Source organism: Homo sapiens, chromosome 12 (assembly GCF_000001405.40).
Source record: "Homo sapiens chromosome 12, GRCh38.p14 Primary Assembly".
NCBI classification, from domain to species: Eukaryota; Metazoa; Chordata; class Mammalia; order Primates; family Hominidae; genus Homo; species Homo sapiens.
The window spans coordinates 64,262,377-64,278,481 of NC_000012.12; the positions used below are offsets into that span (position 1 = coordinate 64,262,377).

At 41.8% G+C, this 16,105-nt stretch overlaps 1 protein-coding gene and 1 pseudogene across 6 annotated transcripts in view; one reads left to right on the top strand and one right to left on the bottom strand.

The window, feature by feature from the left end:
- Window positions 1-2,385: 2,385 nt before the first annotated feature.
- The window catches only part of C12orf56 (chromosome 12 open reading frame 56), a 125,997-nt gene continuing 112,277 nt past the window's right edge, over window positions 2,386-16,105 (bottom strand). For 2 of the 6 annotated variants that reach the window (NM_001099676.3, NM_001170633.2), the window contains 5 exons: window positions 15,304-15,427; window positions 12,922-12,996; window positions 12,525-12,599; window positions 8,160-8,338; window positions 2,386-4,912 (listed from right to left, as the gene is read on the bottom strand). In NM_001099676.3, the coding sequence (NP_001093146.1) occupies window positions 4,807-4,912; window positions 8,160-8,338; window positions 12,525-12,599; window positions 12,922-12,996; window positions 15,304-15,427 (559 nt within the window). In that variant the 3' untranslated portion in view covers window positions 2,386-4,806. Of the gene's footprint in view, window positions 4,913-8,159; window positions 8,339-12,524; window positions 12,608-12,921; window positions 12,997-15,303; window positions 15,428-16,105 lie in introns of those variants that run through there. The other 4 variants (XM_024448830.2, XM_047428257.1, XM_024448831.2 and 1 more) reach the window with 4 other exon arrangements.
- Window positions 4,035-4,395, top strand: OOEPP2 (OOEP pseudogene 2; annotated as a pseudogene).

Sequence of the window (16,105 nt, forward strand, 5' to 3'; positions counted from 1 at the left end):
TAAAACATGCTATCAGTTATAGGAACTTCAGGCTTTTCCCTCTTTGCACAGTAGCTAGAGTATCTAAATTTCAGTAAAACTCAAGAAATTTGGCTGGGCACAGTGGCTCATCCCTGTAATCCTAGCACTTTGGAAGGCCGAGGCGGGCAGATCACTTGACGTCAGGAGTTCGAGACCAGCCTGGCCAACATAGTGAAACCGTCTCTACTAAAAATACAAAATTAGCTGGGTGTGGTGGCACATGCCTGTAATCCCAACTACTCGGGATGCTGAGGCAGGAGAATTGCTTGAGCCCAGGAGGTGGGGCTGCAGTGAGCCAAGATCGTGCCATTGCACTCCAGCCTGGGGGGCAAGAGTGAAACTCAAAAAAAAAAAAAAAAAGAAAAGGAATACTTCATGTATCTCCTCTAACACTACCTGTAAATCCATTTGGAACTCTGTAAGTAAAGAATGGCTATTTCAATTTGGTCACTTAGCAATTACCCGTTCAAGTCAAAGGCTGAAAAAAGTTTAGGAACTAAAAAGCTTTCTGTCCACCCTTGGAAAGAGTGTTTTCCACGTAGATCTTCCATTGATGGCGCTAATTAGAGCCAACACTCTTTCCTGGTGGTAAGCAGTGAAAATAGTCACTTGTCAGGCCGGGCATGGTGGCTCACGCTTGTAATCCCAGCACTTTGGGAGGCTGAGGCCGGTGGATCACCTGAGGTCAGAAGTTCGAGACCAGCCTGGCCAACATGGTGAAACCCGTCTCTACTAAAAATACAAAAAAATTGCCAGGCGTGGTGGTGGGAGCCTGTAATCCCAGCTACTTGGGAGGATGAGGCAGCAGAATCGCTTGAACCCGGGAGGCAGAGGTTGCAGTTAGCCAAGGTTGTGCCATTGCACTCCAGCCTGGGCAAGTAGAGTGAAACTCAGTCTCAAAAAAAAAAAAAAAAATTCAAATGAATCTGTTCTCCAATGCTCTATAGACCAGGGGTTCTATGAGTACAGCGGCTGGTCCTCAGATTGGTTAAAAAAATAAGGCAATATTTATTAGTCTCTAAATTCTCACCCAGCTTTGTTAACTTTAACAATATATACCCCAAGTCTTTACTGCATGTCAGATACCGTGCTGTGTGCTAAAGCATTTATGTTTTCATTTAAATCTCCTAACACCCTTTGCAGTAGGTTATATTATCTTTGCTTTAACTGCAGCTTACAAATATTTGTAACTTCCTAAGGTCCAAAACAAGTGCAGAACTGGAATTTAAACCATTTCGGCTCCAAAACCAGTGTTCTTACCCGCATTATATATAGATGAAATTTTAAAATTATAATTATATATAATTACATATAATCTCTATATATTATTTACATATATATTTTTAATTTTTTAATTTTTATATTTTTATTTATTTTTTGAGATGGAGTCTCACTCTGTAACCCAAGCTGGAGTGCAGTGGTGCGATCTCGGCTCACTGCAACCTCCGCCTCCCGGGTTCAAGTGAGTCTCGTGCCTCAGCCTACCCCGATTAGCTGGGACTACAGGTGTGCGCCACCACGCCCAGCTAATTTTTTATTTTACTAGAGACAGGGTTTCACCATGTTACCACCATGTTCGTGGTCTTGAACTCCGTTGCTCGGGCAATCCACCTACCTTGGCCTCCCAAAGTGTTGGGATTGCAGGCATGAGCTACCGTGCACAGCCTATTTACATATATTTTTTATTTATTTATTTATTTATTTATTTATTTATTTATTTATTTATTTTTTGAGACAGAATCTTGCTCGGTCACCCAGGCTGGAGTGCAGTGGTGCAATCTCGGCTCACTGCAACCTCCGCCTCCGGGGTTCAAGCGATTCTCCTGCCTCAGCCTCCTGAGTAGCTGGGACTACAGGCGCGTGCCAACACACCCGGCTAATTTTTGTATTTTTAGTAGAGACGGGATTTCACCATGCTGGCAAGGCTGGTCTCGAAATCCTGACCTCATGATCCACTCACCTTGGCCTCCCAAAGTGCTAGGATTACAGGCGTGAGCCACAGTGCCCGACCTACCTATACTTTCAAATGGAGAGCTGATGACTGCGGGGGTAGGTAATGGTGGTAAATGGCAGTGCTTGTATTATAAAGATGGCCAAAGGGTTTAGAATCTTGACCCTGGCTGGAAAACTGTCCATGTGTACTTGCCTTTTTGGCAAGCCTTTGGATTCTTAAAAAGTTATTTATGTGATCTTCATAGTCAAATTTTTCTACAATCAGATTTCCTGAAAAATAATTATTTTGTAGGTGAGGTCAATATTTAGTTAAAATGTTAAATGTGTCTGAGCACTAATAGAGATGGATTATTCTGTGATTTTTCTTGCCTTTGACAACAATGCAAACAAAAACCACACAGCAGAGAAGAATAGTGGTTGGACAATCCTTCGAATTATTAGTTTCTGATCCCAGACTGTGCAAATGAATAGACATGAGTTATACAGAGTAGACTGAAGAAAATCAGGGTGACAAATATTCAACCATTAACTCTCCAAAAAACCACTGACTTTAGCCCCACATAAAAAGATTCAGATATATTTTGACAGAGATTTTGCTCCCAGAGATTAAAGTAAGATCCCAGGGCAAAGAGAGGAGTGGGAGAGGCATGCAGAAATCATGTGGGAGAGAAACCCCAAGCCCTCACTAGAGCCTGCATGACTACTAGCCCAGATCCAGGGCACTGCGGAGAAGCTAAGGCAGAGCTGAGTTGATCCTCTCGTTGTCATCCTGCGGGTTCATCAGTACATTCTTTGTCCGGTTTGAGGTAATACTTGCCTATGTTCCAAGAATCTTTTCATATTCCTTTGATTGACCGTCTCTTGAAAATAATCCCCCATCTAACAGCCAGGACACTCAAAAACACCATTTTGCTCCTCTCTCTCTGCCCCCAAAATTGAGGGTAGAAAATGTGGACTCCTCATTGGGTAATGAAGGAAAAGACTTGGACACTTTATGGGGTGATGGCTGGTGACAGCTGAAAGGGAAACTTTGGGTAAAAAGAAAGGAGGATTACTTGAAGTTAGTGCAAAATCATCCACTGAGCCGAGATAGCAGAGAAACACACTACTCCATTTCAGAGTGTTAAATGTCTTGTCACAGGCAGAGAATGTAAGAGCTGGAAGAGAACTTGGAGAACATCTAGTCCCACCCTTCCACCTAGCAGAGGAAGCCCAGGAAGAAACAGATGTGGCCTGGAAAGGGGGCCTGACTTGCTTGAAGTCAAATAGCTGGTCATTTGGCTCTGTCAGAACCTGGAATAAAATGTCCTAGTAATTATCTCCACTGCCCAACACAGGCGAATCTGGCTTAGGAACTCTTTCTTTGGAAGTAGATTTTTCTCTGATCCTCCCTCAAGTCATAATAAGTTGAATGGAGAGTCCAGTTCCTATGTTCTTAGAAGTCCAAATTCAACACCTCACGGTGATGCCAAAGTTAAGTATTTGTGGAATTAAATTAGTTTATGGCATAAAATATAGTAAAGACAAGTTTTTAAATGGTTGTGGGAGAGCCATAACTGCTCGTAGACAATTTATCTTTCATAGAGACTCTATGGGACTACACAAATTAGCCCACAGATGCCTGAAACAGAGTGGCACCATGCACTTAATTTTGTTGAAGTCCAAGCTTCTTTCTCTATGATAAAAGAGGAAGTGACATTCTATACAGCTATGCCTGTGTTCTGCTCATTCTTCCAGGAATACTTTTGTCACTAGAATTTGTATAGGTGGAGGAGGAGGGTGTCATCCTATTGCTCAGCATTTCCCAAATAATCACTCTGTAGCTTATACTCCCCACAACAGTTTATCTCAGGATGTTTCGTGGCTTCACACCACTCACCATTATTACACCAGTGAAACTCACCAGATTATATTTTCTGTGTTCACTCTCCATAGGCTTCTGTTCCCTTGATAGATTTTTGTCTTAGAACCTTTTTTTCTGGAGAAACGCTACTGTTTAGCACCACTTTATGTATGTCAGAATGGATGTAGGTTTCTTTGTAGCAGATTTTAAAACTCTGGCCTCCGGCCTTGGTGGTTTCTGGTGCAGGAACTGAGAGACCCTTTGGTGTTCTACCTGGAGGCGTGGCTGGCGGATGAGATCTTGAGTGAGTGACCTTAGGCCCAGACCAAGCTGTAATTCCAGAAGTGGCGTGGATGCGCCAGGCCCTGCTGGTGGTGGACATAGTGGACTCCAAGAACCTAGTCGAAATAATGGTTTTTGGATGGCTCTGAGTACAGAATCGGGTGAAGAGCATGCTCCTGTGCCTGGCATGGTTTCACCGAGAACACTGTGCCCAAGCTGAGAAGATAAAACACCTTGAGAAGAACTTGAATGCCCATGCCTCAGGCCCCCACACTCCCCGGCATCCTATTGCTTAAGCAACAGAACTATTATCAGGAGAATTTTGAGAACCTTCTTGCTTTTGCTGCTAAGGTGGAAGAGAAGTGAGTACAGCTTTCCTAAATCCCTGCATTCCTTTTTCCTGTGTCTTGATGGATAGTCGTTTATTTTGTGGCAAGAGTGAGTTTGAAGAACTACTCTAATAAAGAAATGGCTCTTTTGCCCAATGGCATAAAGATCTTTGCACACTTATAATAAATCAAATTTATTTTTTAAAATTTTAAACTTCTCATAGAGAGGTATTGATGGAACATTCAATTAAAATCTTTGTTTATAGGACTCAGAGATAGCCAGATATTAAACAAATAAAAAAATGTTTCTCGTGAATATCAAGTTGACTCTTGATTAACATTTTATACTCTTATTAACATTGCGTACATTGTTTGTTTCTATTCAACCAATTTCAGAACTTCATGAAAAAGTTGAATGGTAGGTTGAGTGATGGGGTAACACAATGGGAGCCTTTTCTGCAAGGCTGGCATGTGAATAAAGTACCTGCAAATCATAAAAAGAAACAAAATAGAGAGTTTTAAAAACAAGAATTTTCACATTGGTCACTTGAGTACATTCACACTCACTGGCTAGGGTTGTTGGGTGTGGGAATCTAAGCTACAAGACTTGGTCAGCATTTTCAGATCTCCAATCTCCCCCATTTGTGACCTAGAAAATCTCTGACATGTGGACTGTCCCTCCAATCTCCCCCATTTGTGACCTAGAAAATCTCTGACATGTGGACTGTCCTCACCACAGTATGAGCAGAGGCTCCTGCTTCTTGGTTTATCAGGCAATGCGCAGTGAGGTGTTGAAATGAAAGGGTCAAGCTGTGGTGACTACTAGGGCCAAGTCAAGAGGGAAGAGTAGAACTCATCCCCCACGGCCTCAGTAAAAGCCTAGGAAAGGCCAGAGGAAGAGGCAAAAATGAGAAAGACTTCAACCATCCCCTTGGATGACTTAAAAGAATGGTTCTCAACCCTGATGCACATTGGAATCACCTGGAGAGCTTTATCTTTAAAATCTCACAGCCCTGGTACCACGCCAGACAAATGGAAACAGAATTTCTACGTGTGACACCTGGTTATCAGTATTTTTTTAATAGGTTGAGTATCTCTTATCCAAAATGATTGCAATCAGATGTGTTTCGGATTTCAGATTTTTTCAGATTTTGGAGTATCTGCATTATACTTAATGGTTGAGCATCCCTAATATGAACATGTAAAATCTGAAATGCTACAATGAGCATTTACTTTGAGCATCATGTTGGTGTTCAAATGATTTCGGATTTTGGAGCATTGCAAATTTTGGATTTTTGGTTTAGGGATGCTCAACCTGTAGTTGCTCAGATAATTCCAATGCAATGTGAGTTGAAAACACTAGTTTAAAACAAGAATCCACACCTAAATGGCTACCAGTAATGTAATTTAGGGGGTAAGAGTAAGCAAGAGAGAGAGGAGATGGTGGCAAACTAAACAGTACATGATGCACCTAAGGGGGTAGCTGCAGGAGTTCTGCCTAACTGTTGTCATCTCACAAGTGTGACACCACTTTGCCAGTTGTCCTGATTTTCAGATGTTTGTATCTAAGTTTTAAAAATTGAGTTGTATGATACATGCTACAATGTGGATGAACCTTGAAAACATTAAGCTCAGTGAAGTCAGACACAAAAGATCACATATTATACGCTCCATTTATGTAGAATGTCCAGAATAGGCAAATCCATCACAACAGAAAGTAAATTAGTGGTTTCCAGGGGTTAGGAGGAGGAGAATATGTGGTGTGATTGCTTAATGGATACTGAGTTTCTTTTGAGGTGATGAAAATGGTGTGCAATTAGATAGTTATGACAGTTGCAAAATATGGTGAATTTAAAAACTATGGAATTGTATATTTTAAAATGGTAAATTTCATACTATGTGAAATTTACCTTAATATATATATTTTTTTAAGTGAGGAGGTGCAAGAGGGAAGAGATGGGAATTGGGTTGTTTGGACGAGCTCAGAGCCAAACAAATCCCTTTTATGGGAGTCAGAATGGAACACCTCATGGAAGACAAAAAGTCCATGGCTGAGTGTGGTGGCTCACACCTGTAATCCTAGCACTTTAGGAGGCCGAGGCAGGTGAATCACTTGAGGCCAGGAGTTCAAGACTAGCCTGGCCAACATGACAAAACTCCATCTCTACTAAAAATACAAAAATTAGCTAGGCGTGATGGTGCATGCCTGTAGTCCCAACTACTCAGGAGGCTGAAGTGGAAGGGGGCATTGCTTGAGCCCAGGAGGCAGAGATTGTGATAAGCCGAGATCACAGCACTACACTCCAGCCTAGGTGGCAGAGTGAGACCCTGTGTCAAAAAAAAAAAAGTCTATAAATTGGACTGTAGTTTTTTTTTAAAAAAAGACAATCTAAGGCTGTAATTTATGTCTCCACATCCTTTTACGTCTTCATCCAAACAAATGACAAAGCTGTGTCCGCTGTACCCTTTTCATCTTAAGTCAGAGACAACCTGGGTTTTCTCCTTAATGGGTGCTATGCAGGGCTGCACTGCTAAGTGCACTTGGCTTTGGCAGCCTATAAATAGAAATGGAACCCCTGAGGTGCAGGAGAACAGGCTGGCAGATGAAGCCAATGCTGGCTACTGTTCTTTCTTACTGTTCTGTTACTGAGAGGGGTAAGTGAAACAAACAAAACCCCTGATAACCATGTTCATTAATTGTTACTCCTTTATCAATTGCTTCTGTCCAATAACTCAATTGTAAGTCACAATCCATAATTTATTATCCTCTTCAGTGAAGTTTATTTACACTTTTTTTTTTTTGAGGCGGAATATCCCTCCGTTGCCCAGGCTGGAGTGTGTCAGCATGATCTCAGCTCACTGCAACCTCTGCCTCCTGGGTTCAAGTGATTCTCCTGCCTCAGCCTCCCGAATAGCTGGGATTACAGGCGTGCACCACCAGGCTCAGCTTATTTTTGTATTTTTAGTAGAGACGGGGTTTCACCATGTTGCTCAGCCTGGTCTCAAACTCCTGACCTCAAGTAATCTGCCCGGCTCAGCCTCCCACAGTGCTAGGATTACAGGCATGAGCCACCATGCCCAGCCAAGTTTATTACTCTTAATTACTCACAGCAGGTTAAAATTATTACTACTTCCGTGAGATGCAGCTACAATAAAGACAATGAGTGACAAACCGTTCTTCAAAGAGAGTTTGATGTTTCACTAGTCTTTTCTGGCCTGGGAATATACTTCAAATGGCAATGGTTCTTAGAGGTCCCCAAAATCCTACCATTTTCACAGATCAAAGTGAAATATTATTAAAAACAAAAATAGGCCAGGTGCGGTGGCTCACACCTGTAATCCCAGCACTTTGGGAGGCTGAGGTGGGTGGATCATCAGGTTAGGAGTTCGAGATCAGCCTGACCAACATGGTGAAACCCTGTCTCTACTAAAAATACAAAAAAAAAATTAGCCAGGCATGGTGGCGGGCGCCTGTAATCCCAACTACTCAGGAGGCTGAGGCAGGAGAATTGCTCAAATCTGGGAGGCAGAGGTTGCAGTGAGCCAAGATTGCACCACTGTATTCCAGCCTGGGTGACAGAGCAAGACTCCATCTCAAAAAGAACAAACAAACAAAAAAGAATTCCTGATAAATACCTAATCTTCTAAATATTGGACCATGTTGCAGGTTTGCATGAACTCAGAAATGAGTGAAATCTTACTGCAGATTAGATTCAGACATTTTTTCTTACCTGAATTCTTCTCTGTAGTTATTCCTAATATACTCAGCTAGAGTCCTGCTGTGCCGCAGACAGCTCTTGAGGATGTAAAATTGCTGGTACAACAGAACTGCTTGGCAGGGACTTAGCAGCTGAAATGAAGCTGAAAGACCCCTCACCACTTGTTTCACAATACTGGCCACAAAAGTAATCTAGACAAGGAAAATACAGTTACATGTAGGCTGTGTGCCACCCACAAAAGCAACTATTTCAGCTGGAGCTTCAACTACAAATCTAGACTGAGGCCCTCACTACCCTAACACCACTGTTGCAATGTTCCTTATTGAAATGGTATCCAATGTCAAATAAAAAGTATAGGAGGAAGCTGGGCATGGTGGCTCACGCCTGTAATCCCAGCACTTTGGGAGACCAAGGCAGGTGGATCACGAGGTCAGGAGTTCGAGATCAGCCTGACCAACATGGTGGAACCCCGTCTCTACTAAAAATACAAAAATCAGTCAGGCGTGGTGGTGCATGCCTGTAATCCCAGCTACTCAGGAGGCTGAGGCAGGAAAGTCGCTTAATTCGGGAGGCAGAGGTTGCAGTGAGCCGAGATCATGTCACTGCACTCCAGCCTGGGCAACAGAGCAAGATTCCATCTCAAAAAAAAGTATAAGAGGCCAGGTCGGGCACTGTGCCTCATCTGTAATCCCAGCACTTTGGGAGGCTGAGGCGGGTAGATCACTTGAGGCAGGGAGTTCTAGACAGCCTGGTTAACATGGCAAAACCCCATCTCTACTAAAAATACAAAAATTTGCCAGGCATGGTGTCACATGTCTGTAATCCCAGCTACTTGGGAGGCTGAGGCACAAGAACTGCTTGAATGCAGAGGCAGAGGTTGCAGTGAGCCAAGATCGCACCACTGCACTCCAGCCTGGGCGAGTGCAAGTAGTTACTCTTCTGTGTAATTACAATCCATAAACGTAGGCTTGTGTGAAAAGCAGAAAAGAACACTAGTGCCTTTTCAAACTCTAACCAACAGGTCACACTACACACCCATTGAATTAGTATCAGTAAAAATGTGTTGCCTTTTCTATTGTAATATGTTGCAACTGGCCCTTCCCTACAGGTAGGGCAAGTAGGTGGAAGTGGATTTTTCCCATTCCAGACCATTTACATGTGTTGACAAAACATTATATATATATTGATTAAACATATATTGCCTGGCAAACACAGCTTGAGCTGAGAGAGTCTGAGGCAGTAGAACAGAACAATGTTAATTAGCCTATTTAGAAATTAAGTTTTTAACTTTTCTAGCACCTTTCTCTAACCAAGTAAGATAATGAGAGCTGACTGACATGCAGGTGCATAGCAATGATCCCAGTTTCTTTGCTTGCAAATGTCTCTTGAATGATTTGTTTCTGCCCATACTGTTTATAACTGGGTTAATATTGAAGCTTTCTTTTGCCAACCCTTCATCCTTACATGCTTCATGGTCACAGACTAGCCTCATACTCAACCCAATTCCTTTGGTGAACCAACTTTAGAGGCTGGTAAAGAAACTTCCTTTTAGCCAGAGTACAGTGGCACATGCCTGTATTCCCAGCTACTTAGGAGGCTGAGGCAGGAGGACTGCTTGAGCCCAGGAGTTTGAGACCAGCCTGGGAAACATAGCAAGACCCCATCTCATTTTTAAAAATTTTTTAAAATAAATAAATGCGGCCAGGCACGGTGGCTCACAGCTGTAATCCCAGCACTTTAGGAGGCCGAAGTGGGAGGATCTCCTGAGGTCAGGAGTTTGAGACCAGCGTGGCTAACATGGTGAAACCCTGTCTCTACTAAAAATACAAAAATTAGCCAGTCGTGGTGGCAGGTGCCTGTAATCCCAGCTACTTGGGAGACTGAGGTAGGAGGATCACTTGAACCCAGGAGGTGGAGGTTGCAGTGAGCCGAGATCGCACCACTGCACTCCAGCCTGGGTGACAAAGGGAGACTCTGTCTCAAATAAATAAATAAATAAATAAATAAATACCATGCAGGAAGGCTTACATGGGAAATGAAAGTAAAAAAATAAAAATAAAAAAATAAATAAATAAAAAGAAACTTTCCTGTTACGTGGAGTCTGTAAAACCCAGATTTCCACACATCAGTCCATGTAATAGGGTCTGCAGCCACCACACAGAAAACAAAGGGGTCTTGCATCTTGCACATATGAGCTTCCATTGCTGTGAATGACTATAACTTTCAAACATTCTGTGAAATGGTCTGAGATTGGTTGGGGCCTGTGTGCTACTGAGGAAGACAAGTTCATGGGCTCAACTTCTGTAGAAGGCAGCTGGCTGTTCTACTGACAAATGTACCCTCTGGCCCCAGCCAGCTTTGTGTAAACATATGTCATAGGGATCTGACAAGACAGTCTAGATCCCATAGAACAGACCCAACATCACTCTAGAGAAACAGCAGGGGACCACTGATGGTCCAACAGATGCGTGTCCATATATGGAAAGAGAACAGGCCGGGCACAGTGGCTCATGCCTGTAATAGCAATTTGGGAGGCCAAGGTGGATGATCACCTGAGGTCAGGAGTTCCAGACCAGCCTGGGCAACATGGCGAAACCCCGTCTGTACTAAAAAATACAAAATTTAGCCGGGTATGGTGGCAGGTGCCTGTAATCCCAGCTACTTGGGAGGCTGAGGCAGGAGAATTGCTTGAATCTGGGAGGTGGAGGTTGCAGTGAGCTGAGATCGCAGAACTACTGCACTCCAGCCTGGGCAACAGAGCAAGACTCTGTCTCAAAAAAAAAAAAAAAAAAAAAAGAACATATTACCTCGTGTCCATCAGCAATGGAAATTTAGTTTAGATTACTCTTTTGAAGAGATTTCCAATTAAGTGTTTGTTGACTGAATGCATAAGTTTGAGGAGGTGGGAAGAGATTAAGGGATAAAGCCTCTACTACAATTAATTCAGCAGATATTTTACTGAACATTTATGGTGTGCCTAGCACAACAGACATAGCTTCTACCCTCACGGCACTGGCAGTCTGTTGGAAGAGAAAGACATTGTATCAGTCGTGATGGACTAGATTATGCTGTGGTAACAAACCTCCCAAAATACCAGTGCTTTGCTTGAAACAGCAAAGGTTGATTACTCATTCACACTGCATGTCCCAGAGGGGTCTGCAGGGCTCTGCTCACTGTGGTTACTCTTGGCCATCTGCAGGCAGGGCAGCCACCTTGTGGGTGCTATGCCGAAGGAAAAGAGAATGCCAGGTGGCACATACTGGCTCTTAAAGCTTCTGCCCAGAAGTGACATAGGCCACTTCTGATCACATTTCATTAGCCAAAGCAGCCACAGAGACCGCCTCCACCCCACAATTTCACATGGAGAGGGAAGTGCAGTCCCACCATGTGCCCAGAAGGAGGCAGAGACAGAATATGAGTGGGCACTAATGGCTGTGACACGGCAGAAGCAAATAATAACACAAACAAATGCAAACTGCAACAGTGACGAGGCCTATAAAGCAGAGGAAGAGGACACCATGCCATGCACTGTTTGTGCCTCTAATGAGGGAATCTCCCCTGTCACGGGGGGCAGAGAAGCGTCCTCCACTGCCACACCCCAGGAAGGGGCCCTGAGGCCTGAGGGATGAGTAGAAGTTGACCAGGTGAAAAAGGGAGGGAAAGCATTTCCAATGGAGAGACAGATGCAACGGTACAGGTCCTGTGATGCAGCTGCAGGGAGGGGGGTGGTGGTGGGGAGAGGGATGGTGAGCAAGAGACCCACACAGCAGGGAGGCTGAGGGACCAGAGGAAGCTGTCGGCCATAGCACGCAGGGCCCTGTAGGCCATGTTAAGGAGTTTAGTCTTCATTCAGAAGGAAGAGTTATTGAGAGATTTGAAGCAAGGGATGACAATCAGATTTTTATTTCAAATGGATCCCTCAGCCTGTAATCTGGTGGGAAGACAGGGACAGACCATTGAGATGTGATTGTAGCATCAAGGAAAGAAATGGTGATAATAGGAACTAGGATGGTGTCTGTGGGACAGAGCACACAAATGATCCCAAGTGTTAGATTCATGCTCACTATTTAAGGTAAATGTTTATCTTTTTACCTAATTATACAGCTAATAATTTAATATTCTGTTTTCTACATGTATCTTAGAGTTTTTCATGAAATAACGTTCCCATTTAAGATATAATTTCAGTACCTTAAACATTCAGGTCCAAAATGTAAAAACGATTTATCAATTAAATAATAAACTGTCAAATTTACACTTTGCTTCTGGTTGATAAACTTGATTACATCACAGGGAAAATCTGTGTTTTATTAATTAAGCACAAGAGTATCTGTTTAATTAGGCTTGGGGGTGATTTCGTTTTGACTTCTAGATACTTACGATGGGAGGACAGCTTTGTAGAAAGGACATTATCCAGCTAATAGCAAACTTTGTGGATCCCAATCCGAGATTTCCCTAAAAGACTCAAGGAAATAAACAAGTTATATTCATAAAGTTCAAGTAGTATATAAAAGGATACTCATTCTTAAATACATTTTTATCCTGATTAATCGAATCCTTAAAATCAGTTTTGGAAAATAAACTAGATGAGCACTTAAGAGCAAAGTTCATATCATTGAAATCAACCAGTTTTGGAGACCATCTCAAGTACAAGCATTTTTGATATATTATTAATCATATAACATAATCACATAATATACATATATCATAATATATAATAGTCATGTAATTTATAGTTACATAAAATATGTAAAAATATAATTTTTAAAAATTGTACCTGCTGAAAGACCAGAAGTATCTCATATAAAAGTGCTGTAGCAGTATTTGTATACTCCAGAATAAGCTTCTGTAACTAGAATTTTCAAGAATAATCAATGCAATGTCATAAGCCAAGTCAGAAAACGATAATTTCCCATGGTTCCCTTTAGGTACTTATACAATAAACTTTCTCTTTTTTTTGAGACAAGGTCTCATGCTGCCACCCAGGTGGGAGTACAGTGCTGTGGTCATGGGTCTGTGCAGCCTCAAACTCCTGGGCACAAGCCATTCCTCTCACCTCTGCTTTCTGTGTAGCTGGGACTACAGGTGCAAGCTACCATGCTGGCTAATCTTATTTTTTTAATTTTTTGTAGAGATGAGGTCTCACTATATTGCCCAGGCTGGTCTCAAATTCCTGAGCCCAACCCATCCTTTCACCTCAGTCTCCCCAGTAGCTAGGACTACAGGTATGTGCCACCATGCCCAGGTAATTTTTGATTTTTTATTTTTGTAGAGACAGGGTCTCGCTTGTTGCCCAGGCTGGTATGGAACTCTTGGCCTCAAGTGATTCTCCCACCTCTGCCTCCTGAGTAGCTGGGATTCAGATGCAAGCCATTATCCCTGGCTGGCCCACAGAATACTAAGACAAAAAATTGCATATTTGATTTGCAAAATCAATCAGATCAACAACCCTACTTCCTTTCAAGAATGTAGAAATACACACCCCCCCCCGCGAGTTGAGGTGAGAGATTCTCTGGGGAATTTAGGCTTATTCCCAAATTAAACTAAGATTCCTTCTGTGGGATGGATAAATAGAGGGTTTAGAGATACTTCATTCCTCTCAAGAATTCCAAACTCCTCTTTACAATTACTATCCCTTTTCTTCATTTATTTACTCAACAAATATGCATCAGACACCATGCTAGGTGTTGGGGACGCAAGGGAGAACAACACAGACATGAGACCTGCCCTCATGGAACATACAATCTAGTTGGGGAACAAACATCAAGTGATCAAATACACAAATGCCTAATTATAAACTGAGACAAGGGCTATGAAAGAAATGTACAGGAAGTTAAGGGAGCTCTATAAAGGAGGACTAGTCTCATTTGGTGGTCAAGGAATGCTTCCCTCTGGCCAATATCTTTCCTTACCTAGATTATGGCACTAACTTCTTAATAGCCCTGCCTATCTGAGTCTTGGTTCCACCCCACTCTTTAATAGCTAATCCACCATTGAAAGTGGTATTGGAGACTCTCTATATACAGTCTGTAATTATATATTCATGGATATATTTGAATAATGTCTGTCTCTCCCAGCAGAGTAGAAACTAATGAAGGCAGGGGTCGTGTCTGTTTTGCTTACTGTTTTGACCCTACTGCCTAGCACACTGTTTGCTCATAATAGATGCTCAATAAATATTTACTGACTGTGGCCAGGTGTGGTGGCTCATGCCTGTAATCTTAGCATTTTGGGAGGCCGAGACAGGCAAATCGCTTGAGCTCAGGGATTTGAAACCAACCTGGGTAACATGGCAAGACCCCATCTCTACAAAAAATACAAAAATTAGCCAGGCGTGGTGGCTCATGCCTGTAGTCCTAGCTACTCAGGAGTCTGAAGTGAGAGCATTACTTGAGCCTGGGAGGTCAAGTCTGCAGTGAGCCGAGATTGTGCCACTGCACTCCAGCCTGGGCAACAGAGTGAAACCCTTTCTTAAAAAAAAAAAAAAAAAAAAAAATTACTGAGTGAATGACTGAATGAGTTTTCTAAAACATAATTCTGACCATATATTTAAGAACTATCAAATCATGTTTCATCCTTTAAAAAAAAGTCTGTTAACCTGGCTCAAAATAAACTAATAATAAGTTGGTTTATTCTCTCAGAAGGTATGCCTTCTAGGCAGTTTGATATTTCTAATGTCTTGGTACAACCTTAGAAAAACAAGTAACTCTTGCTGAGAATTTATACTGTTCATATAAGTAGGAAAATGGTAAAGTATAAGAGTTAACCCTAAAATCTCTAAGACAGTGATTTTTCACCCATTAGACCCCTGCTATGGAATTACATATACATCATGTTTTGTACACAGACAGACATAAACAGATTTATCAAATTTATAAAGAATGCTAATTACTTTCTTTAATATACATACCTTAAGACATATAAAAGGGATATATTAATATTGACTGAATAGTTATTTTTTCCTTTTTCTTGACCCTCTAAATCTCTAAATCTACTTTAGACTGACTAGTTATCTAAGTTTTGAGGTTAATGACAAAAGATCTACTCTTTGGTTTAATTATGTTTCTCTATTCTACGGTGTCATGGTCCACATTAAAAGAAGCCAGGGCCCCTATATATATATATATATAATAGTTTACCCCCCAAATTCTCATCTCACCTCAGCGTCAAAAGACATTCTGACTAAAGCTGAATCAGCCACCAACTGGATATCAAACACAGGACAAGATTTTGGAATCTGAGGCTCACTAATTAAAATTACCAAGAGATTAAATAGTGCTCCCCTGGAAAAAAATAAATAAAAGGCAATTAGTGAGCAAAGTGTTGAGAGGAAAAATGGTGAAGCCAAGTTTCAAACACTGGATATAATTATGTTTAAAAGAATGAAGCATTGCAGACCATCCTTGACTGAAGTTTTGGATCCTTGGACACGCAAATGAATAACTAGAGATAAAAAATTTAAATGAAAATATAACTTCTTGGTCTTCTGGCTCAGAGCGAGTGTAGTTCTAGAAGTCCACATAGCTTAGAAAGACTAGAAAATCTGGATTTAAGGGAGATTTGGGTAATTTCAATTATAGCATTATTTTCCAAAGGACTTTTTATGGATTGCTAATTCCAGACAATATTATAGTTAAAATAGATTCTGTGGTCAAAGGAGATAGGGGAAATACTTGGTTAAACCAAGTTCATCAGATGTGTTTACTACAGGACTTCTCAGAGGCTTTATATGCTAATATGCACAGTGTATCTCTGGGACAAAGCAACAGTATGCAGCTCTTCTTTTTTCTTTTTTTAGGTTTGTTTGCTTGGGTTATTTTTGGCACAGGATCTCATGATGTTGCCCGGGCTGGTCTTGAACTACTGGACTCAAGTGATCCCCTGCCTCAGCCAAGTAGCTGAGATTACAGGCTTGAGCGACCACTTTCAGTTTTTACTTTTTTTAATTGATAATAAAAATT